The sequence below is a fragment of the Homo sapiens genome, chromosome 6 (assembly GCF_000001405.40).
Source record: "Homo sapiens chromosome 6, GRCh38.p14 Primary Assembly".
In the NCBI taxonomy this organism is placed as follows: Eukaryota; Metazoa; Chordata; class Mammalia; order Primates; family Hominidae; genus Homo; species Homo sapiens.
In genome coordinates, this window is record NC_000006.12 from 112,318,151 (window position 1) to 112,344,127 (window position 25,977).

Sequence of the window (25,977 nt, forward strand, 5' to 3'; positions counted from 1 at the left end):
GAGACACTGCACCCAGCCCGGTAAATCATTTTTAATTCTCAATTTTTCTAAAATAGTTTACTATAGTTTCTGAGGGAATAAATCTGCTCTATGTCCAGAATTTTGCTCTTAGGATTTATGTTGTTTGTAGGCTCCTAACTTAAAAAAACGTTATCTTAAAAAACAAAGCAAAACAATTCTGTCCATAGCAATTAGTTCACTGGACTGTAATATATTTTTATTTATCTTCTCTCAGTGCATTGCATAGTCTTCAAGGATAAGGAGTTGTGTTTTATTTAATTTTGAATCTCGTGGGCTTGACACAGTCAGGGCTCAGCAAGGGTTTTATAGAATAATGAATAAGTAAATGAACTCAGAGCACAAGGTGAGCAGAAATACGAATATTTACCTGATAAACTGGGACACAAAGATGGCCACTCTGATTTGAGTGAGTATTACTCAGAGCCGGGTAGGCTGAATGTGGAGGTTTTCAGTATTCACAAGTTATCTTCAAGGGCCCATGGCAAGTATAAATTTGTACTCAGTTTGAATTTCACAGGCTTTGACAAAAACACATTTGTGAGAGAATTTCTTCTCGCATGAGTGCACGTAATTGGCCACCTATCAATTACATTTAAAACTGGTGTACAAGTATCCAGTTAGCCTTTCATTGAAGAAAGAGAGGGAAAATAATTTTTTGTAGTAACTGCGTTCCAGAATTTGGAGATGCTAGAAGGCCTCCAGAATCATCCTTTGAGAAGTAGTGATGGTCTACACTATCAAAAATGATTTTTAAAAAAGTTTAATGTAAAATAAATATAAAATTGGGATTGTGACAAGATTAGGTAGATTAGGGGAAAATGACCTAGACAAGTTGCTATGAGACAGTGAGCAGGCTCCTCCACCTTACAACCTGTAGTGTGTGTAGGGGTCTCATTGGAATCCACTGTCACTCCAGGTCTTCTTTAGTAAAGGGATCAGTTTGCTTGGACTTATCCAGCTGTATCACATGCCCGAGGCTGTCATCCATTGTGCCATCTCTACTCCTCCACCACCAGCTGAGAGTGTGTGAGTGAAACTTGGTCCAAATAGGAAAACTGAAAAGGGCTAAATTGCAAAGGCACACACTTCTGGCAGACAAAGGTGCAATTTGTGGGTCGAACTGGCACAGTTCACAGTCCACTGATTCCTGCCTCTCCTCTTTTTAATACTTCTGACAACAGGACAATTTATGTGGTAGAGGATGCCTTTCTTTTTGTTTTCTGCCGCCCGAAAGAGTAACACTTTACTTTTCATCTTTTATTATCTGGCTAGCTGTTCACTAGTGAGGCCAGTGTCCTGTCATCTTTCTATATTTGCAGAGCATAACCTTGACATATTGATACCTTTGAAGGCCTCCCTAAGTGTACGCACTCATTTATGAGTTGAAACTGCATTGTTTCTGGCTAATTTATCCTGAACCAGATTTTACACACTGACCCAGTAACTTACTTTGGGCATATTGAGGAATTTGAGTTTCTTCAACGCTATTCTATTATATTATAAACAACTATATTTTCCTGGGATATGACCCAGGCAACATAGTTCTTTTATAATTTTCTTTGTAGTCAAAGCTTCTCCTCATTGGATAGGAAAACTCAAAGTACTAGGTAGGAATCAAGACTTGTTGGATGGAAAAGAAGCAGAGAGAACAATAGTCAGCCTCATTCGCTAAGTGAAGACACCAGGTTTAATCAGCTGAAGTGCCCCTTAGCTAAACTAAAGCTGGGTTGAAGTTCATTGTAAGGGTAGAGCAGAAACTTGGTCTTATTTACTTACTGCTTAACAAGTATTTATTATCTGTTTAGTGACTGGGATTATTAATAGGAGTAAGATTAATTTTTTGCTCTTGAAGTGTTCATGATGCATTGAAGAAGATAGATAAGAATCAACAGTGCCCCTATGTACTGCTGGTGGGAATGCAAATTAGTACAGCCACTATGGAGAACAGTATAGAGGTTCCTTAAAAAACTAAAAATAGAATTACCATGTGACCCTGCAATCCCACTGCTAGGTATATACCCAAAAGAAAAGAAATCAGTAAATCGAAGAGCTATCTGCACTCCCATGTTTGTTGCAGCACTATTCACTACAGCTAAGATTTGGAATTAATCTGAGTGCCCATCAACAGACAAATGAATAAGAACATGTGGTACATATATACAATGGAGTACTATTCAGCCGTAAAAAAGAATGAGATCCTGTCATTTGCAAAAACATGGATGGAACTGGAGGTCATTATTTTAAGTAAAATAAGCCAGACACAGAAAGACAAACTTTGCACGTTCTCACTTATTTGTGGAAGCTAAAAATTAAAACAAATGAATACATGAAGATGGTAGAATGATGGCTACTAGAGGCTGGAAAGGGTAGTGGGGAGTGGGGGAAAATGGGGACGGTTAATGGGGAGAAAAATGTAGTTAGATAGAATGAATAAGATCTAGCATTAGGTAGAAAAACAGGGTGACTACAGTAAATGTAATTTATCATACACTTTAAAATAACTGAAAGAGTATAATTGAATGTTTATAATACAAAGAAATGATAAATCCTTGAGGTTATGGATACCCTCTTTACCCTGATGTGATTATTGCATCATATGCCTGTATCAAAATATCTCATGTACCCCATACATATATACACCTACCATGTACCATAAAAATAAAAAAGAATCAACGGTGCTGGGTGCTGTGAAAGAGGCAAGCTGTGTGCGCTGACATGGGGCACGGGGTGGGGACATCTCACACTCCAGATTGGGAGACTGATGGAGGAGAGACAGGCACATTTAGGGGGCCCTCACCACCATCTGATGGCTAAAGTTTAAACCTTGATGTTCGGAGATGTTAGGAACTTGATGTCCTTGAGTCTTAAATGTAAAGAATATGTGCTCAGAGGTGAAGTTTTCCCTGCTGATTCAGAGGAAGCTGACTCTCAGCCCCATGGAATCTTTTGAACTGGGAAGTCATTACTATTTGATTACTCTGTTATCACAGAAAACTTAAGCAAACATTTTTTGGCAAGAGTAGCAACAACAATAGCTGTTTTGAAAATATTCTTTCATTTCATCGTCTCTGTTAAGGACGTTGCTTATAATTTTTGTAAAAACCGTATAAAATAGTACTAAAATAGTATTACTCTACCTATTTTGTGAAAATGAAAATAGACATATAGAGATGTTAACTTAATAATTTAGGCACTCAGGTAGTAAGTTTTAGAGTAAGGGTTTTAGTCCATAATATACTGCCTTTTTGCAAATCCCTGTTTTTAGCTATATTAAATCTGCAAAAATTGCAATCTCTTACTTAGCCCAACTTATCCTTGCCAGAAAATACTTCTTGAATGATGTCTCTGGCTAGCTTCTAAAATTCTTTAAAATGCACATTTTTAAGTGTTTAAGGAATAAGACTCACATAAACAATTTTAGAGAAAGGAAACAAAAAGATTACATTCTAATATGAGAGATAGCAGGATACAAGAGCAGAATTAGATTCTTGTTCTGAATGTTGCTGAAAATTCTTTACCCCCTTGGACTGGAGTTTCTAGAGAGTTTCCTCCTCTACAAATTAAAGATGTGACCTACCTGATCTTAGCTCTCTCTTCCAACTCTAAAATTCTTTTTAGGATTTTAGATGTCATAAGGAAGTTATGACATTTCTGTCATGATTTGTGAACCAAGGAAGAACTTTGTTTCTTTGGAGAGATTGTCAAAACTGGCCACATTCTTGTCTGTGACAGTCGGGGAAAAATTCCATCTCAGGGCCATACCACAAACACTGTTTTGAATTCAGAGTATGCCCATCCATTTTCTCCATGGGATGTGTAGGGGTTAATGCATATTTCTTGGTTTCTAATGTTTTGCTGTAAGGATCTGATTTAAAAGCTCATTTCCTTACACACCAGGAGCAATGTTTGTAGGTCAAGCTCCCACACTGTGAAATACTTGAACTCTCTAGGAAATATCCTGGGCGTATGATTTAACTTTTGGCTCAACTTGGTCTTGAATAGGGGTGTTGGAAAATATGGAACAGGGAGAAAAACCTCACCAACACTGGTGCAAGAGCCTCAGTTTATTTCTGGCCTGCAATAATTCTTGCCAGTCACCTTGCATCTTGATTACTACATCGTTTCACTGCTTTCACAAGCAAAACTGAACGCTGGCTCTATCTGCCTGCTCTGCTTTCCTGCTCAGGAGAGTAATCACTCTGGATGAAAAGACACATCTCCTGACAGAATAGGGAATGCTAAACAACTGACTGCGAGCCTCGAGCCTTCACAGAGTCCTTAGCAGTTCCTGTCAATGCTTTCACTTGTTCGTAAGTTGTTGAACTCTCCAGTTCCCTCAGAGATTTCCAATGCTCACCACACTTCTGCCCCCTTTTAGTGCCCTCTTTCTCAGTCTTAGCAGATGATCTTGCTGTTCCTTTAGTGAGGACAGTTAGGTCCCAGGTAAGCCCTCTATCAGCCAACAGCTGGTACCTACCTGCTGTCCTTCTTCACATTCACGTGGGTTCCCATGATCTGTCTTCCTGTCTCAGAGGAGGGCTTGCTCCTTTTTCAGGTCGAAGTCCTCTAGGCCACTGACCTAAATCATGAATCCTCAGGTCACTCTGAACTCTGACATCTCATTCCTATAGTCATTGTCCCTGTCTTGTGTGCCTCCACCCTCTCCTCCACAGGTTCCTAAAAAGGGAAACTGGCTTTGGTGCTATTTGTCCTTCTAGCCACCATCAAGTCTCTCTCCTCTTTTTGAGAACTCAAAATTTCCAAAGGAGTGGACTGTACCCCTGACTCTGCTTTCTTACCTCATACAGGTGTCTGGCTTTTGACTCCACCATTCCTTAACTGCTTTCACTAAGGTCACCAAAATTCCCTTTTCATCAAGATGTGATTGGCCTTTTGTGGTCCATGCCTTCATGGGTCTGTGTGTGGCACTTGGCTAAGGTGACCAATCCCTCTTCTTTAAAACATGGTGTTGCTTCCTTTTTCTGACATTATGTACTTCTTTTGGTAGTCTCCATCCCAACCGGGTTGTGCTTCTCTTGCACGCAGGCTCCCCTTCCTCTGCCATTATGGAAAAGTTCACCGAAGGCTGGATTGGGTGGTCATTATGAGTGAAGGTTTTTGAGTCAGATTGTCTCCTTTTTTTCCTTTCTTTTTTTGAGACAAGATCTTGCTCTGTTTTGCCCAGGCTGGAGAGAAGTGGCCTGATCACAGCTCATTGCAGCCTTGACCTCCAGGGCTCAAGTGATCCTCCCATCTCAGCCTCTTAAGTAGCTGGGGATACAAGCATGCACCACCATGCCTGGATAATTTTTTTTTTTTTTTTTGAAATGGAGCCTCACTCTGTCGCCCAGGCTGGGGTGTAGTGGCGCGATCTCGGTTCACTGCAACCTCTGCCTCCTGGGTTCAAGCGATTTTCCTGCCTCAGCTTCCCGAGTAGCTGGGACTACAGGCATGTGCCACCACACCTGGCTATTTTTCTTTTTTTTTTTTTAATTTTTAGTAGAGATGGGGTTTTACCATGTTGGCCAGGCTGGTCTCGAATTCCTGACCTTAGGTGATACGCCTGCCTTGGCCTCCCACAGTGCTGGGATTACAGGTATGAGCCACCATGCCTGGCCCAGCTCATCTCTTACTATCTGTGCTTCCATAGGTTCTTAGTAAACTCCTCTGTACCCCAGTTTCATCATCTTTTAAAATGGATTTGATAATATTTCACATTGTTAAGAGGATGATTAAATCAGATAATGCAGGAACAGCACTTAATGTGTTCTTCTTTTTTTCAGAAAGAAAACTTAATCATTATGAGATAATTATATAAAGCAGCATTCAGAAATGAAAGATCAGGTTTCCAATTTGCAGTTTTACAATAACAGCACGCCGATATTCCATCATGCTTTAGGCTTTTCCAACTGTAAATATTATAGGAACTCTTGGAAAAATAAAAGAAAGGTGCTTTTCTGAATTTGTCATGAAAGAGCCAATTAGAATTTTTAGTTATTGAGGGACATTTTGAGGGATTTTAGAGCATCTAAGACTTAAAATAACAGGACATCCAGTTTTGATGACTACTGGAGATTTTTTAATAACGTTACTACAACTAAAATGAAAATTCAACACCACAAAGAATCTCAAAAGCACCTGCATTATACAATTATAATATATAATAATATATAATTATATACAATATATAATATATAGTATATAATTATATATACCTGGATTATACAATTAAAGCAAGTCATGATTAGATTAAAAATAGGTAAGTTCAGCCTTTATTTCTGATAAATTAATACAATTACCAGGGATTTTCTGGCTTCTAAATATAAATATGATAATAAAGTATACCTGAACCAAATAAGGTTGATTTCAAACTTAAGTGTGGAGCCCATCATAAATTACAGCAAATGACCATTAAAATTCTCATAAAATTATGATACATGAATTTTAAAAATCTTACAATTTTGACTTGATATTTTTGCTATTTCTTATTTGGTTATCCTAAAAAATAAAAAACCTATGTCAATATTTCAGATTTCTGTTGCACTTTTCCCCCCAAATCTCTATTTAACTATTTTGATCGGAAGTTTACAGAGTCTTCTGAAGGTCATTAATCCTGCAGAATGTTAAGCTATTGCTTAGTAAATTTTTTTTACTCACTAAATAATATTTTGGCTTTCTAATTTTTTGAATCTGAACATCAATTATAATTTTATGTATCAGTGTGAAATGAAAGATTAAACTTCATAAGTCAACTATACTATTAGATGGCATAACTTTTGATGTAACACCAATAAGGAGATGTAAATTTATCTGCATATATATACCATATATGTGTATATGTGTATATATATAAATGCACACAATATTATTTACCTATATAATCAAATGTCATGATTAAATTATCACTTAGATAATTAGATAGGTAGATATTAGTTTGGTGCAAAAGTAATTACAGTTTTTGCCATCACTTAATGGCAAAACTGCAATTACTTTTGAACCAACCTAATAATTAGCTATGTACATAAAGACAAAACTATATACAAGAGCCAATAGAACACTGTATTGCTTATCAATTATTTCCAGGCTCACTTTAGACCGACTGCCTTAGTACTCAAAGATGTTTAATATTGTTAACATTTATTGCTTGGTTATTGTCTGCAAACCACTGATCCCAACACAACAAGCCAACAAAACAGGTGCTGTTAATAACCTTATTATAGGCAAGAGGAAAGGGAGGCGGAGGGAGAGTAAGTAATTTGCCCAGCATCACATAACTAGATGCTGGTGGAGTCAGCATTAAAAAGAAAGCTGCATGGCTCCAGAGACTATTTTTTTTTTCAGAGTTTACAAAAATGTATTTGTTTATGAAAGCCATGATTTAGAACATTTAAAAAAAGCCCTCCTGGGAACATAACTTGGGGAGAAATGTGGTGAGAGGGCGAGACTCGGCCACCCACAGGCATGTCACAAGATGTGCCCCGGCTCTCTGGGGTGAACTCTGCTCTGACTTCAGGCCAGAGGTGTCTGCCCCAGCAGCGCCCTGACAAGCTGAGTGGTCGGAAGGCCCTGGCTGGAGAGAATTCATTTGGAACCTTTCTTCTTTTTCTTATTTTTCATTGGTGTTTCTTTCAGCGTAGTGTCCATTGCTACCTCTACTGGCTTTGCAGCTTTTTTTTTTCCTCTTGTCTTTTTGGGCTTCAGGGTGAAATCCTGGCCATCAGGTGGCTGCACACAATTCCCTGCACCCTGAGCAGAGGCCTCAGAACTCTCTTCCCAGCAGAGGCCTCTGCACTGTCCGTCTGTCCGTGCTCTTTTCTCCTTGGATGCCGACTTCTGGACCTTGTCTCTCTTAGGCTTTCCCTCTTTAGGCCGCTTGGCCTTAGGCTGTGTTGGGGGGTAACTCTCCCCATTTTTACCTGTTGCCTCTTTGTTTCTTTTCTTCCCCCTTTTGCATTCCACTTGGGTCTTGGAAATGTCAGGCCCTGGAGCTGCAACCTGGGGCTTGTTCTTCAGTGCTGCCATTCGCTTGGCAAAACGCTCCTGGATGGTGAAGGCATGGGTTGTCATCGTGGTTTTGTTCTGTCTGGAGTGGAGGGACTGGAATTACCCTCGGGAGTCTTCTTACTCTGTTTTTTCCCAAAAATGCAGTCACGATCTGTTTTGCTCCGAGATGATAGATCCTTTTCTTTTGTAAATTTCCTATGATGAACACAGTTTTTGAAGATTTTGGAATTTCTTCAAGACTAAAATATTTCTTTTTCTTGTTGTCTAAGGAGTCTGCTGTTTCCTGCCTCTGACAAGTGTTCAGTTCCGCCAGAAGCCAGTTAAAATCATCTTGATGGGCAATCCAGTTGGCTTCATTATTGATTGTAGCTTGAAGTCCCAGGTCGTTATTTTTAACTTGAACTTTAATATCATCTGGGCCTCCTTGCTCCTGAACCCCTAAACCCCTTCCTTTAGACCATTCCATCTTCTCTAGTATCCTCTGGCCAAATTTAGAATCAGCATTACTCCAGGCAGTGTTTTGAGTATTCACAGCCCACTTCTGCTTCTGCTGCTGCTCAGCCAGCATCAACATGTCATGGAGACTGTGACACCACGACCTCCAGACCTGAAGGACTTCGGCCACTGGGCGGGCAGCAAGATCTGGGACAATCTGGACAGATGGGACTCCCTTGCCAGGTGGACAGCAGCCCAGAGACTATGTTCTTAATTCCTAGGTGAACTGGTTCCCTTATTTCACTGAATCCTTGTAACAACCTTAGGGGTAGGTGCCCTTTAGGTTGAGGTATATGAAATTGCTAATATTTACCCATTTTAACTTAATACACAAACAGCACTTTCATCTGCTACAACCACATAGCATTCCTATTTTATATTTTATTTTATTTTATTTTATTTTATTTGAGACAGGGTCTTGCTCTGTCTCCCAGGCTGGAGCGCAGTGGTGTGATCATAGCTTACTGCAATCTGGAATGCCTGGGCTCAAGCAGTGCTCCTGTCTCAGCGTCTTGAGTAGAGGGATTACAGGTTCAAGCTATGGTGCCCAGCTTATCCTCATTTTAATAAGTGGAAACAGTAGCTTACATTGTTAAGTAACTCACCCAAGGTCAGGTTGTGTGGAATGGAGCCAGGATTCAAATCCAGGGCCGGTGGATTTCACAGCCCATCCTTGCCATTACTCTATATCACAGTAGTATGTTTTCTCATTACCCTTGTGATCTAATCTCTTTGTCCTCATTCCTTGCACTCAAACCACTAGGCAACCAGTGTCTTTGTAGTCCCCAGATTCAAACTACTTTTGGATAAGTACCTGTTGTTCTACTACCACTTCCAATCATGTTTAGCTTCAAATTTTATTGTCACTTCCTTTTCCATTGACTCTTAGACCTTAATGGCTCATGCTAATAAATTTTGGTTCTCTTCTGCTTCTCAAATTGTTTAATAAATTTTCCTTACAAGTAAAGTATCATATACTATGTGAGCTCTAGATGAAGACTAATTGGGGTACTTAGTAATTTCTGCAAGAAGCAGAAGTCCTATTTAAACTTTTAATGAAGAAGACACAGTATATCCTTATTAACAGGCGATAAGTAGTTTTGCTTTGATATTTTCCTCTATGACTTGTTTGGCTCTCATATAAATTATTGAATAGCTGTCAATATTTCCAATTCCTATTGAACATTTTCCTCAGGGACCCAGCCTCACAATGGATACTAAGCTCTGGTTGAAGTGCAGATTCTTATTCTAATTAGGTTAATGGAGTATATGTTTTGTGAACAGGAAGTTCTTTACTGTAGAATAGTTATCAAAAATTCCCTGTGGGACCCAAGGACAAAAGAGATCAATATTTTACTGGCAGAAAATTTCACTAGAGGAAACTTCCTTTCTGTGTCTGCTGATTTTTCTGTGGTCATTCATTAGAAAGCCTGACCCAATGGGGTTATAGACTTTGGGATGGTTATTGCTCTCAGCATAAAGGAAGAAGTCAAGAAGAAACAAATCTGTTTTAACTTTTCTTAGAAGGAAACATCACAAAACAGCTCTTGGAAAGGACATGGGTATTAGTCTTTTCCACAAGCACATCATGTTAAATCCTGTCATCTGCATTCATGGACATTCATATTTATACAGCGCTTTCTGCAGCATAAGTCCAATAAATAATACATCTCTTCCATTTCACTAATTCTGAGGTAAGTTTGCAATTATAACAACTAGGCAATGGATTCATGTTTTAAGCAAAGGGCACATTTTAGGCTTGCTAGGGTGACCAATTGCGGTAGTTTTTCCATATCCATCCTGGTTTCAGCACTGAAAGTCCCTTGTCTTGGGAAACTCTTTAGTCCCAGGTGAATTGGGACAGTTGGCCACTGTAGGTTTGGATATCGGGGGACCAGCCCCCGATATTTCAACATAGGTTCTTTTCTATTTTCTCTAAGTGTTGGCCGGTCTGATAAATAAAGGGAAAGAGTACAAAAGAGAGAAATTTTAAAGCTGGGTGTCTGGGGAAGACATCACATGTTGGCAGGTTCTGTGATGCTCCCTGAGCTGCAAAAGCAGCAAGTTTTTATTAGAAATTTTCCAAGGGGAGGGAGTGTACGAATAGGGTGTGGGCCGCAGATATCACATGCTTCATAGGCCAATAAAAGATCACAAGGCAGAAGGTCAGAGCGAGATCACAAGGTCAGGGCAAAACTAGAATTGCTAATGAAGGTCCATGTCCTGTTGGGCACACATTGTCATTGATAAACATCTTAGCAGGAAACAAGGTTCAAGAGCAGAGAACCGGTCTGACTAGAATTCACCAGGCTGGAATTTCCTAATCCTAGCAAGCCTGGGGGTGCTGCAGAAGACTAGGGCGTGTTTCATTCCTTATCTACAACTGCATAAAGCAGACACTCCCAGAGTGGCCATTTTAGAGACCTATCCCTGGGAATGCATTCTCTTTCTCAGGGCTGTTCCTTGCTGAGAAAAAGAATTCAGCAATATTTCTCCTATTCACTTTTGTAAGAAGAGAAATATGACTCTGTTCTGTCTGGCCCCACAGGCAGTCAGGCCCAATGGTTACCTCCCTTGTTCCCTGAAAATCACAGCTATCCTGTTCCTTTTGGATGCCCAGATTTCATATTGTTCAAACACACATGCTGTACAAGCAATTTGTGCAGATAATGCAATCATCACAGGATCCTGAGGTGACATGCATCCTCAGTTTACGAAGATGATGGGATTAAGAGATTAAAGTAAAGACAGGCATAGGAAATTAGAGAATTGATTGGGGAAGTGAAAAATGTCCATGAAATCTTCACAATTTATGTTCAGAGATTGCAGTAAAGACAGGTGTAAGAAATTATAAAAGTATTAATTTGGGGAACTAATAAATGTCCATGAAATCTTCACAACTTATGTTCTTCTGCCATGGCTTCAGCCCGTCCCTCTGTTCAGGGTCCCTGACTTCCCACAACATTTGGACAAATCCACCATGTGGGCTGATCAAAATTTTCTCTTTGTGTCAAATAATAATGACAACAACAAAAACCCCACAAAACCCCAGTGCTTTCAACTCTTATTTCCTTAATTAGAAACAGTCAAAGACACTGATTTCAAGTTGCAAGGAGCACAGCCAGATTTATTTACATACTTGATTTCATGTTTATTTTTCTTGTAACCTGAGGCTGAATGGTAGAAGTAAACATTCTCAGATCAAAATGGATCAAGTTGGGTCTACATTTTGAACATCAGATATTTGAATACATTCCATATCTGTATCAAGAGATCGTTTATTTTTGCCATCTCCTCATTGCTTAGAAATAGGACTTACGACAAAAGACTCAAGCATCTTTACATTTGTAGGACCACAGTACCATGAGAGGAGATTCAACTCTTGGCTTCACTATTCTCATTTTGGTTTATTTCATTTACAGTTTATTCACCCACTACACCATGCATCTTTTACTCCCCCTCTGGGAAGAAGTAGAAAACTGCATCAGTTTCTAGGACATTCCATATCAAAGAGACACAATGAAAACTGGCAGCAAGTGGCACTGCCATTGAGTGACTTCTCCCTCAACCATCTCTGCTGTGTGGTGCAATTTAAGGTGGATGAATGGCATACTCTGGGCTCCAGGCCAGCTAACTGGCCCTGGGGGAAATCATTCACACCCACGCTGATGCACACACCCTTTAAACTCTCTTTCCTGCCCTGCAGCCCCCCAGATGAAATCCTTATACTCCAGGAAGCAGCAGGTCCTTTCATTGCTGTCTCTGGGCTACAGGAATCAAAGAGCAAAATGAATGTTTTCCTCTGAGAACTGGCACTGAATAGAAGGAAGGAAATGCCTACTCCAATTCAAGCATGTTTTAATCTCTGGAGAAGTGGGTACTGGGGAGGGGCAATATTGGCTGAGGAATCAGTGGGAAAGTCATAAATTTTGTCTCTTATCCCAGCAACTAAAATTCTTCCTTTAGAGTGCCACCCACTCTTTTTTTTTTCTCCTAAAAGGATTTGGATAATGAACAATCACTTTCTAAATTCTCAAGTTCAAAAATCTCTCAGTGGAGGAAGAAAAGGGAGTTTTTGAGTAAATCTCCAAAGGCTAGATGAATCATTGAAAAACATGCTCAGAAATTTCAAGATTCACACACACCTCATGAATATACCATCTGAATCTAATCTGAAGAATCTGGCACTAAAACAAATCAACAGTTCCTTACCTCTTCCTCTCTTTGACACTTTTAATATCTAACAAGGCCAACTCATTTAATTTTTTTAAAAACAATTATCTCTCATTCAAAGATACAGATGAATAGTAAAACACCAGTGTGATCGACTTCTCAAAAGTCTGACCCACAGTCAGACAAAAACAGATTGGTGGTGGTGTGGGGGGAGGGGATTCTACATGTCAAGTGACATGGACTCATCACAATGTCAGTGTCCCGGAAACCTTAAAAAAAAAAAAAGTGGTGCTTGTGCTGGCTGTTCTAAAGTAAATGAGATTTAAGGGACATGACAAGCAAATAGAATGTAGAAACTTGGAGCTTAATTCTTAATTGTGATAGTGTGATTATAAAGGAGAATGCCTTTTTTCTTAGGTGCTACATGCTGAAGTATTTAAAGACAAAATGTCTTGACATGTCCAGCTTATTTTTAAAAGTTATCATCAATGAGAGACAGAGAATGACAGAAAGAAAAGGAGGCAAATGTTAAACAAACAAACAAATTCTGGGCTAAATATTGATTTGGAGCTCGCACTGGAAAATTCCCTGTTGCTTGTTCAAGTCCAGGCAAGTCTATGAGTTCGCCAATTGGCTTCAGGGTATAAATTGGACTATTTTGACACGTTCTAAAGATCTATCGTTAGCCTGGCTTCCATTCAAGTTTTAGCTAACAGGAAGCACTTGATTCTCTGAAGAGGTGTGTCAGAGCAGAATTACTTACAGATGTTCCTTACAGACATATTCCAAATTTGTTTCTCTCAATTAATTTTTCAATCAATTTCTACACCCACTTCATTAGATTTTACATTTAATTTGCAAGTAAAATGGCATTTGCATTTTCTTGAGTAACTGTGTCCCTTCTATTCCCTCCCATCCCCATTTCTAGAATCTCAATTATGTTATGATACGTCCCACAATAATTGCATTATAAAATGTCATGAACCATGATTATAGGGAGGCTATTCAGAAAAAATTCCCTCACTGTCTATTCACACTAAAGCCTTGATTCATAAATTTGAAAAAAAAGTTCCATGGTTATATGAGCCAGTGGAGAATCTTTGTGTTTTAATAGGTCAGATTGCCCAGGGTATTGGACCTGCTCATATATGGGAGTTTTTGAACATGATTTTAAAGTAAGTCTTTGGAGCCTCTTTTAACAATATCAAAAGTAGTTTGAAGGAAATTTACTTTTTTTTAAAAAAGAATCCTCATTGCAAATTTGACCATTTTATTCTTTTGTTGGGTCACCATTTTTGAACATCTGGCAGTCAGCACATGGGTGCAAAAGGCTCATCTTCAGCAGTTCCTTGGCAAGATCAGTAACCTAAAAATTCGGCCCTAATTCTTTGATATCTTTGAAAGACTAACCTCTCTGTCCATTGCTTACTCTTTCGTTCCACTTGTACTTGAAGTTTCATTTTTTTTTTTCTCAAAAGCATTCTGTAATTGAAGTCATTCCAATGGAAATTTTAGTGATGCTATGCTGGGCATTGTGCGGGGCAATGCAGGCGAGACATGGAGGAGTAGAATGTGGCCTCCTGGTTTGTAAGGAGAATGTGACCCAGCAGGAAATAGAAGACACATGTGCTAATTACTCTTATGTAGTGTATGGAATATTCCACATGGGAGTTGTAAACAAAGGATTCCTTACCCATGACTCCAGCACAATTAGAGGCTCTTTCCTCATGATTCAAGTGTCCATCTTCCTCATCCCCCAACATCCGGAGTCAGGCAACTACCTACTCTATTAGGGTTAGTTGGGTTACCAGTCTAGAGTGAATTTCTTGAGTCAAAGTCAGTGACATTCATTTTATACCTTTAGCACCCATCAGTGTTTTTGGTATATAGGAAGGCCTTGAAAATTATTGTAGCACAGAATGGGTGGCTGGCAGGATGATGAATGGTTATCCCAAAAGCTGACATCTCTAAATACTTCCATAATTAGACTGATACAAGCTTCAGGGTTTGGAGACCTTTGGTTTCAATCTCTTACCGATATTGCTTTATGAACCCAGGGATGAAATCACCATGGTGAGAAAAATGACAAGGAATTAGATTCTCTCATGTATATATCTGCTATTTTTTCTTTTGTAACAAACTGAAAAAATACAAGAGCATATCTTCATCTCTACTACCATGATCTTAGAAATTAGCTTCTGTACCTCCACTCACTACTTGCTCAATCTCTGGCCCAGTTTTATCATTTTATCACCAATTCCCTCTGGGACCAACTGTATCCTAGGTCAATAATTCAATTCTGGGACAACAGAGCTCCTTGCTCATCTCTGCAGGTTAGTGAGAAGATTGTAACACAGTCACTCATTAGTAAGTAGAAATAAAGTCTAGGTTTAATGGACACACTACTTCCAGTGATAAAAAGTAATCCTTGAAATATTTTTAAAGTATAAAGAGCTTTGGCTAGGAGTGGTGGCTCACGCCTGTAATCCCAGCACTTTGGGAGGCTGAGGCGGGTGGATCACTAGGTCAGGAGTTCGAGGCCAGCCTGACCAACATGGTGAAACCCTATCTCTACCAAAAATACAAATATTAGCCAGGTGTGGTGGCGTGTGCCTGTAATCCCAGTTACTCAGGAAGCTGAGGCAGGATAATCACTTGAACCCAGGAGGCAGAGGTTTCAGTGAGCTGAGATTGTGCCACTGCACTCCAGCCTGGGCGACAGAGTGAGTTTCTGTCTCAAACAAACAAACAAACAAACAAAAAAACAAAGAAACCCTAAATATATATATATATAATATATATATACACACACACATATATATACACATATATACACATACACACACACACACATACACACACACACATATATATATACACACATATATATAAAGATCTTTGAGTCCGTCTGATTACTTCCACAGGATGGGAAAGGGTTAACTCACTTTCAAACCACTTGGATTAATAGTAACATTATTTGTATAATATAAAGCCAGCTTCAAATAAATATCAAGAGGTTAATTCTATTAAATAACTTCTAAATTTTGTTACTCAGTACAATCAGTAAATGGTAAATGAAGCAAGGAAAAATACTTTTTCTTGAGTAAATGTTAAGCAAATGGTGGTATACATATAAACCCCACTGGTGACTTCTGCCTCTTTTTAGTATTATCATTGTGATGATTTGAGTTGTGACTACATGCCAGAATGATAAGTGCTTTACAAATATTATCTCTAATCCTCACAGTACTATAAATTAGGCTCTATTTTCCCTAATTCACAGATGAGAAAACTAAGTTTCAGAGGTTAAATAACTTGTCTTGGATCACGCATCTAGGAAAAGCCTCCTGGAAACCAAATTTCACTATATGAGTTAATAAAATTCATGTCTGACGTTGACCTAATCAAGGAATCTAGTGGTAGTACATGCTTGACAAGTGATAGAGTAGGTTCCATGTAACACCAGAAAGTAGATGAGGTCTGACTTCAGCACTTTCAGCCTTTTGATAATGTTCAGTATAGGACTGGGCCACCATTCTTTTCCTCTTTCCTCCACAAGTCTTGTCTTAATGAAAATCACAATAACAGAGCTATATACCTCAGTGAACTTGTTTTGTTATTTCTCTTAGGGAGATCAGAAGTTTTAGCCTCCGTCTAATTGTTAATAAAATGTTTTAACTGTGTTATGAGGATTTCAGGTGTAAGTTAGTAAGAGACAGGTATATTTTGAAGGGCCTTCCTTTTGCACATGAAATTCACAAAGATACAAATTTGTGAATTTCATGTGCAAAATTGGCTGCATAGTCATCTGTGTATTAGTTATTCTGTAGATAATCATTCATTGAAGATATATTTATTGAGTACCTTCAGTATGTCAAGCCCTATTCTAGTTGCAAGATAGACTACATAATTTGCAGGTCTCAGTTCTAAATTAAAATATGGAGTTCCTTGTTCCAAAATTAAGAATTTTAAGACGGCGACAGCAGAGCATTAAACAAGGCATACAGCCCTTCTAAGCTCTTCTATGTAACTGTGTAGCTCACACATCCACGAAGCTGACCCTGGCTGGGTGCTCAGGATATAACGGTGAGTAGAAACTGTTTATCCCCTCATGTAATTCATAGTCTATTAAGGGAGACAGATTGTAAACCAATGATCACATTAAACAATTTGATTATTTGATAAAAATAAAAACACACTAGTAATTATATACCAAAATAATTACCCCAAAGGGAAAGAGTGAAGTTCCAGAAGACAGTTTGTCAAAGAAAGATATCTAGGTTTATGCTCAGAGAAAGCTTTCAGGAGAAGTAATGTTTAAAGGCTAGGGAGAAATAAACTAGATGATGAGGGGAGGGAGGTGACCTCCAGGACAAGAGAGTATTTTATCAGAACACGCTCAGGTACTGTGGGGCAGGGTGTAGCATGTCATAGAACTGAAGGAAGGATTGTGTATGGCGAATAAAGGGGGAGTGTGGTGGGAGCCCAGATCAAAGAGATAGACACACCCAGACACTGAGCAAAACCTGGCCTTGTAGGCTTGTGTAAGGATTTCAGTCTTTATCTCAGGGACAATGGGGATCCACTAAAGAGTTTTAACCAGGGGGCTCAGAGTAAAGGGTCTGAGGCTGAAAGGGGTACAGAGTGGATACAGAGCCACCATTTAGGAGGCTGCTGTGGCAGTTAGGCTAGAGATAATATTGGCTTAGCCTGGGATAATGGCCAAGGTGGTGGGAGATGTGGGGAGTTCTTTGGGCAGGCACATACAGAAAGGAAGGAAAAACAGAAGACTTGGAGAATTTCTGGATGAACTTGTATAAGCATGATGCTAGCAGAGGAAGTTTAAAATGAGAGCCCAAATCACAGTTTGCTTGGCCTTGCCCATCCTAGAAACTAATTAGAAAAATGAGATAAATAAATATTTTGAAGTATGAGAAAGAGCAAAACACTTTCCTCTTCTACAAACCCATCTCACTTTGAAGAGGAGAAAAATCAGTGATTTTGTTTAGTCCCTTGAGTAATGAGAGCTGTGGGTGGTCACAGTTAGAGGTCTGAAGCCTCCTCTAACTCTACAGGAGCTGGATTGTACTAAAATGTCAGATCAGTCTGGAGGGGAAATGAATCAGAACAGCTGAAATGCAGAATTTTTGCTGTGTTCTCCCTTACCTAAGGGACAGCCATGGCTTTGCAACCGTTAACTTTCCTTGAAAAGGAATTCAGACTGCCTCTGAAAGATCTGCAGAGCTGTGAAGGCTGAAAAGCAAGTTATTCTTGCAAAGGTCTTTAAGTAAAACTGGCTGCTAAAAAACAACAACAACAAAACTATTCTTCCCTTGACATAGTCAACTTAAAAAAATTGTAATGGAGCCTTCTTAGCTTTTAAATTGAGGAACAAGTGGGTAAGAACAAACCAGAATCAAATAGTAAAGCAGGAGTTCCTTCTTCCTTTTCTTTCAATGCCCTTGCTTTCTCCCCACTATGCTGCCACAACTCCTACATCTTTTTAGATGCTTTTGTTTTCCAGGGACTGAATTCTCACTTCCCTGCTCAAGGGATCATCTCAACTTGTTATTCTCCTTAGAGTAATTTTTACAAGAACATGTTTATCATATTAGGAACAAATGTGTTTGGAACTGGGGTGTTTTAAACTCTCTGTTAATGCACAATGCTTTTCGGCAGCTGGCTAACTCCTAGCAAACTTGGCCTTACAAGAGGTCACCAGAATTAGGTACTAGGACTATGTACCAACCATGTACTAGGCACAGCTTATAAATACCTATTAAAGTGAAACCCACCCAGTATTCAGTTAGCAGTATGGGTGATTTGGTGAATTAAATCCATAATGAAATCCTATCAAAATCTCTCCCTCCCCACTGATCTATCAGAATTGCTAAAGAGCTCAGCTAACAAGCCTGTGTGCGACAGTTCAGTGTTATGCACAATCTGCTTTCTTTGGTCTTACTGTTGCAGAGAAATGGCAGGAAGTTAGGTATAAGGATTAAAAATAGGAGCATATAGACCAAATGTAGGCTGTTGACCTTTAAAAAAACTGATGCCTAGTTACACTAGAAGAATGTTATACAAGTATTTCTTTTATAATTGAAACATCTGCATGAATGCTTTCTTTTCTTCCACATATACATAATTTAGACATCTTAATTACAGTTGTATGCTTTGGGGTTTGATTGTAAAAAAACCAGGATGTCTTTTTGTCTGTTCTCCCTGATGTCAAAAAATTGATTACAAATTTTATAAACTGGTTTTTCTCAGTGAGGAAATTTCTTGTCTAATTTTAGCACCCCCCAACCATTCCTAAAACCATCGTCCCATGGATCTCCATGAATCGAACTGCATACGTGCACATCTCTCATTTGCATCTTTTCCTGATATTCATAAAACCTCCCACAAGTGAAAGGAAGGAAAGTGATACTCATGGATTGGTTTCCTGCCCACCATCAAGGCCTGGGATCATAAATAAAGTCTGGGGCTCCACTTGCTGCAGAGACACAGTAGATGGCAGTGTGCAACACAGAAGTGTGAGATTCCCGACCGTCTCAGCCTTGGATGGGCAACTGACTGGGAGGAGGTTGAATCTCTGGGCACGGATGCTGTTTTTCCAGCCTAGTCAGAGAGAGAGGTTGTCTTCCTAGGAAATGCTTTTTCTGCATAAACTTGGTTTTGCTGATTCAGTCAACTGCAGTTATTTGGGCTACTTTGGCACCAAAGAATGTTAAGCTTCTTTAAGCCTGAAAAATGTCTGTACTTCAAAACTCTACTTAAATGCATAAAATAATCTTTCACTTATATGATATGCTTCACTTGTCACTTATATGAACCTCCTTGTGCTTCATATTTTATTAATTTTATTAAAACAAGATCACTATGGATAACCTACAGATAAGCACTCTGGACATTTCATAAGCACATGTTGGATACACCAGGACTTGGTGGTTTGACTTTTCAGCATCGTAGGTGGACTAATATGAGTACCCCCATATACTCTCAAAGACCATATTTAATTAGGTGACTGTGTTGGATATTTTAAATCATTTTTATATTTCTGCATTATATGTTCCCCAAAATTTAGTAGTAATTCCTCAATAGACTTAAAGTATATTTAAACTTTTTTTTATTATAGAAGGTACAGGCGACTGGGGTCATTTTGCTGAATATTAAAATTACTTTCTTAATATAATTACTTTCTTATTATAAGCAAATAAATCATTTCTAGTATGATACTTATTATTAAACATTAGCAAAGGAGACCTTACTCAGCACCAGTAACAGATATTTTTAAAAAGAGAATTTCCCGAGAGGAAGAGGTCTCAGAGGAAAGGAGATATGTCGTATACAAATCATGTACAGCACTTAATTACCTTGAGATTTATTCATTTCAATAGACACACACCCACACACATTTTCTCAAGCCTTCCCTCCTGGCTGGATTTGTGTCTTAGGATTAGGGGCTTTGCTCTGATCTCTGTTTTACAGTGTTTGGCCTGTGTAGACTTTCCTACTTGGACTAATGTGCTCAATTGTATTTATCTTTCCAGACCTCTTGTTCATTTAGATTTCAGAGTTCTGTCCAATTCCATGGTCTCTTGGAAGTCCCAGCTTTGGCTTTTCCTGGCCTGACTCATTCTGTTGGCACCCAAGGCTGGCCCAGTTAGGCTGAACCACTGGGCATTTTCAGAGTTGCCACCATTTGACTAGAAGTCTTGGAATTCCAAACTTGGGTTGTTGACTGCAGGGTTCTCCTTCCTCAGTGTCTGAGACACAGGCTTTTGGTGATTGCCTTTCCCCTTGCGTTAAATGCTGCTGTTTCTCAGGGCTCTGACTCTAGGCCCTTCTTTCTCACTCTGCACAGTTTTCCTGGGCCGTCTCAACCACTTTTCTGGTTCCCAGTTGCCATTCCACTTCCGTGCTGATCACTTCCAAGTCGTTGTTGGTAGCCTAGATCCCTTGCCTGACCTTCAGAACTGTAGGCCCTCACATCTACAGAGACACTGACATGTCTCACTGGCACTTCCGTAAGACCAACATTTCACGCTTTGTTTATCCCACATATTGTTCTTCCTGCTTATCCCACTGATGTCAGCATCCATATCTGTGTCTAGGCCAGAAATCTCATATTCATTCTTGATTTCTTTTTGTTCCTCCAAAGAATGACTAAGTCCTGTTGATTCTGGCTCCTAAATATATTGGGAAACTATTGAAATTTTTTTTTCACCAGTTTCTTCTGCTGTTTCCTTCTATCAGGCCACCATCATCTTTTACTTGGATCTCTGTGACAGCCTGCTGACTGATCTCCTTGACTTCAGCCTTGCTCCTTTGCAATCCATTTCCCATGCTGCAGCTGAATTATATCCCTTGAATGCTCATTTGACCATGTTTTTTCTTGCTTAAAAAAACCAAAAAACTCTTCTATGGCTTACTTCCCTTGCTCTGACTCCTTCTTCTCAGCCATTAGGCCTCCACCTAGTCCACCTAGATTCCATTTTCTCTCTCTCTCTCTTTTTTGTTTTCTGAGACAGAGTCTTGCTCTGTCTTGAGTGCAGTGGCCTGATCTTGATTCACTGCAACCTCCGTCTCCCAGGTTCAAGCGATTCTTCTGCCTCAGCCTCCTGAGTAGCTGGGACTACAGGCGTGCGCCACCATGCCTGCTTAATTTTTGTATTTTTAGTAGAGACAGGGTTTCAACATGTTAGCCAGGCTGGTCTCAAACTCCTGACCTCAGGCAATCCACCTGCCTCGGCCTCCCAAAGTGCTGGAATTACAGGCGTGAGCCACCGTACCCAGCTGATTCCATTTTCTCCTAATACCTATCCTGATCCTTTCAAGCTTGTGCAAAGCACTCTTTCATCTGCTCTATAGCACGATGTGCTTTCCCTACCATAACATTTACAGAACATGTTACATTTGCTAGTTTACTTGTCTCTAACCCTCACTAGTCTGCAAGTTCAGGAACTATACTTAGCTTGCTCATCTATTTTATATCTATAACTTAGGAAATTACCCCAAATATTGTAGGGACATGGGATACAGGGGTATAGTAGTGTATTATTTGTGGTAAGAATACATGAAGAAATAAACTCATTGCAAATTATCAATGCATAATACTTGTTGGTCACTTCCCGTAGGACGGTTATGGTAATGGGTAATTGGAATTGTGTTAGGGTGGGAGGAAGGCTTGTTTAGAAAAGTAAAGCTATAGCAATTATCTTGAATCCATTCATGTAGGATAGGTTCATTAACACTGGTTTGGAAGGTCTTTGATGATTTTTTTTTTTTTTTTTTTTTTGAGACGGAGTCTCGCTCTGTCGCCCAGGCTGGAGTGCAGTGGCGCGATCTCGGCTCACTGCAAGCTCCGCCTCCCGGGTGCACGCCATTCTCCTGCCTCAGCCTCCCGAGTAGCTGGGACTACAGGCGCCCGTTACCACGCCCGGCTAATTTTTTTTTATATTTTTAGTAGAGACGGGGTTTCACCGTGTCAGCCAGGATGGTCTCGATCTCCTGACCTCGTGATCCGCCCGCCTCGGCCTCCCAAAGTGCTGGGATTACAGGCGTGAGCCACCGCGCCCGGCCGGTCTTTGATGATTTTAAGAAATAAACGTAACTTGTATGGAGGTTCTGGAAAGAGAATGTCTGAAACAAGTCAAAATACATTCTCCTTTTTTATATATATGTAGATGTGATTAAAAAGGTATATATGTAAGCAGCAGTCCACTGCAACATACTATAGACAGTCTTGTCTACTTCACAACATTATTTCCCTTCTCACGTACTGGTCTTATCTCCCTTCATCATGCTATAACACAAAGGACATCGGCTGTGCCATTCCATGATTTTTTTCTGGAAGGGATCCTAGTACTTAACGGAGTACCTCAAAGATAGTAGACGCTCAATAGATGTTCATGTGCTCTTGGGTGTTGCTGGCTTTCCTGGTAACTTCTGAAGAAGAATATTTATTTTGATTAGTTTATTTTGCCTAACGTCCTGACAATGGGCAACATGCTACTAAGATCATGTGTTGTGTTTAGATGACAGTTAATTGAAAGATTTCACTGCATAATTGAAAGATTTGACTCTCTCTACTGAGTTCACAGGACTGTGCTGACTCTGCTAATTAGTTATTATCTTTTCTTGTTTTGCAATAATACCATGCTAGGGAACCCACTAATAGAATTTTTTAAAAGCTGAAGAGCTAGTCAGACAGCCAAGTACTGACAAGGACATTTAAAAGTATAGCAAAAGATCAGGCACAGTGGCTCATCGTGCTGTAATCCCAGCACTTTGGGAGGCCAAGGCAGGCAGATTACTTGACGTCAGGAGTTTGAGACCAGCCCGGCCAACATGGGGAAACCCTGTCTCTACTAAAAATACAGATATTAGCTGGGTGTGGTGGCACGTGCCTGTAGTCCCAGCTATTTTGGAGGCTGAAGCAGGAGAATCACTTGAACCTGAGAGGCAGTGGTGGCAGTGAGCCGAGATTGCGCCACTGCACTCCAGCCTGGGTGACAGAGTGAGACTCTGTCTCAAAAAAAAAATTAATAATAATAGTATGGTAGTTCTAATGAATCATATCTGTCTCTTCAGTTAGGATGTAAACTATCAGTAAAATATAAGATATGAACCAGGCATGGTGGCTCATGCCTATAATCCCAGTACCTGGAGAAGCTGAGGTGAGAGGATTGCTTGAGCCTAGGAGTTTGAGACCAGCCTGGGTAAGACTCTGTCTCCACAGAAAATAAGTAAAAACTAGCTGGGTGTGGTGGCACACAACTGTGGTCCCAGCTACTTGGGAGGCTGAGGTGGGGGATCTCTTGAGCCCGGGTGATCGAGGCTGCAGTGAGCTGAGATTGCACCACTGCACTCCAGCCTGGGCAACAGAGAGAGAGACCCTGTCAAAAAAAAAAAAAAAAAAAAGATACAGTAGAAAATGAAGATGGGATTTGTGATTCTGGATTTCCAGGTTCATGGATGAAGTCTGATGAGTTGCTATGACTGTCAAAATAGCATAGATTCATAGTTCCATGAAGGTAAAGGAATTAGGTTAGCATCTGGTTTAATTAAACTTTGATTGGATTGAATGCACAAAATAGAAAAATTATAAAATACACTGGTTTAAACAAGATAGAAGTTTATTTCCATCTCATGTGAAAGATGGCCAGAGCTAGGCAATCCAGACAGGTGTTAGTAACACATCAAGATCACACAGCTTGGGGGTGGCGCAACCCTTAAATTCATTATCCAAGAGATTAAGATGATAATAGCACCTACCTCATAGAGCTAAGAGGATTTAATAATAAAAACCATATGAAGTACTTGAATAAACACCTGGCACATATAACATGCTCAATAGGTGTTATGTATTAATGTGAGGGAGCCACAGATTACTCAAGTGATGAATAAATAGTAACTAACATTCTGATAACTTACATGGAGGAAGGATGAGGGATCTAGGAGAGGACATCACAGGGGTTTCTCATCTAGTTTGGAGGCTCTGGGAATACTCTTCTGAGGAACTAATGCCCCAGATATATCTGAAAGATGACTAGGTGTTAGTTGGGTGGCCGGCTGGGGATGGTTCCAATCAGAGAGAAACCACCTGTCCTGGATTAGGAGGGGCACCAGAAAGTAGTGAAAGGAGGCTTTGTGTCTTGATTTCAGAAGATGAGGCTGGAGAGCAGCAGGGCCAAGGCCAGGATACCTGTTAGGGATTTGGGTCCTTATCTGGAGACTAATGGGCAACCACCAACGAGGATCAATCAGTTGGAGGAGGAAGTTACCATGAGGCTGGATCTCTGCTTGTGTCCAGAGCTCCCAACCCCCAGGGGCTGATGCTCCCAGGTGGGACTGACCGTAGACAGCTTGCCTCGATGTATCTTGCATCCTGGAGTAGGGGTGGGGCTCCAGCCATTTTGAGAGATTCATAGTGTGCATTTGATAACACATTGAATGCCAGATAGCTGGGTGGAAAGGAAGCTTATTTTGATTCACACTTCCTCATTCACACAAAAATATTCTGAAAGCCCTAAACTAGAGGAGAGAATGTATGCATAATCTGAAAACACTTATATTTGGCTCTAGAAACCACAAAAGTAAAGAGTTCAAGTGGCATGGTCACCTGTGTGTCCATATTCTTGAACTCCTCAAATTCCCTTGGATTCACACTGTCCCCCTCTGGCCCCTGCTTGGGGTCTGGGACCTATCAGTGAAAGAAGGGTGCGCACACTTGGGGTAACTGAGCACTACTCATTTATTCCACAGTGGCTATGGTTGTTGAAACTTACATAGGGACTCAGGTGAGAGCAAACTATTCTTGCAGATAATATGCTGTAGAAGTGGAAATCTGTTGTTGGTTCTTATACAGCTATAAGCACACCATGTGCATAAAATGCACGAACATTATTCAATTTTTTCTTAACATGTTTGACAAAAATTTTAGAGGAACAAAAATAAAGGAGTTCATTAATAGAACTATAGTAGGAACTACATGTTATCAAATATGTAACTATGGAGTCTAATCATGTCATCTCTGGTTTTTACTGTAGTCTGTACTCTAAAACAAGTGTGGAAGTGGAGCACTCTACATATCCTAAGTGCCAAAAATATTCCTCTTCATGAAATTCGCCAGATCTGCAAAACACAGCTCCTTTTGAAGAGAAGAGCCAGGGAACTCCATTAGCAGGCTTTGATGGCATTAATAATTCAGAGAGATGCCCTCTATCTTCTTTAAGATAGACAGAAGGGTCCCTTTTAATGTATAACCAGGCAGAAAAGAGGAGAGGACACGGGTGGGAGAGAAGAGGAGGTTGCAAGCCAGCACCTGCCCCACACCAGGGGATGGAAGCTAATTGTGAAAAGCTGCCCCACTACAGCTGCTGCCTCTTGAAAAATGCAAACTGTGTTTTGAGCAAACATATCATCCACTTGTAAGTATCTTAGATTCCTGACAGATCTGATTATTCCCTCCTCCCCACTAGTGGCTTCATCTTATCTAATTAGCATGTGTGAAAGTTGATTCCTTTTTTAATCAGGAAGCTATGGAAACAAAATTAATTTGTGATTTAATCTTAACTCATGGAAGCATTAATGATAATTAAAAATTATTTTAAAAATTAAAAAAATTTTCATGCACATTTTTGATATGTTGTCATGAGAGTATTAAGATATCACAGATAAGTGGCTTCCAATATTTCCAGCACTTGAAAATTAAAAAAAATGGTGCTTCTCTCTGAATTCAGTATTCCTGTAATAATGGAGAATCTGGGAATCAAAGTG

General features: G+C 39.8%; 1 pseudogene, besides 1 other annotated feature; it reads right to left on the reverse strand.

Annotated features, from left to right (window-relative positions):
* On the reverse strand, positions 7,359-8,715 carry LOC100128588 (PIN2 (TERF1) interacting telomerase inhibitor 1 pseudogene; annotated as a pseudogene).
* Positions 10,505-11,090: an enhancer, noted in NCBI's record as "OCT4-NANOG hESC enhancer chr6:112649857-112650442 (GRCh37/hg19 assembly coordinates)". NCBI's record gives its function as "activates a minimal SCP1, AML or CMV promoter by ChIP-STARR-seq in primed H9 embryonic stem cells {active_cell/tissue: H9 hESC(primed)}" and the evidence as "EXISTENCE:reporter gene assay evidence [ECO:0000049][PMID:30033119]".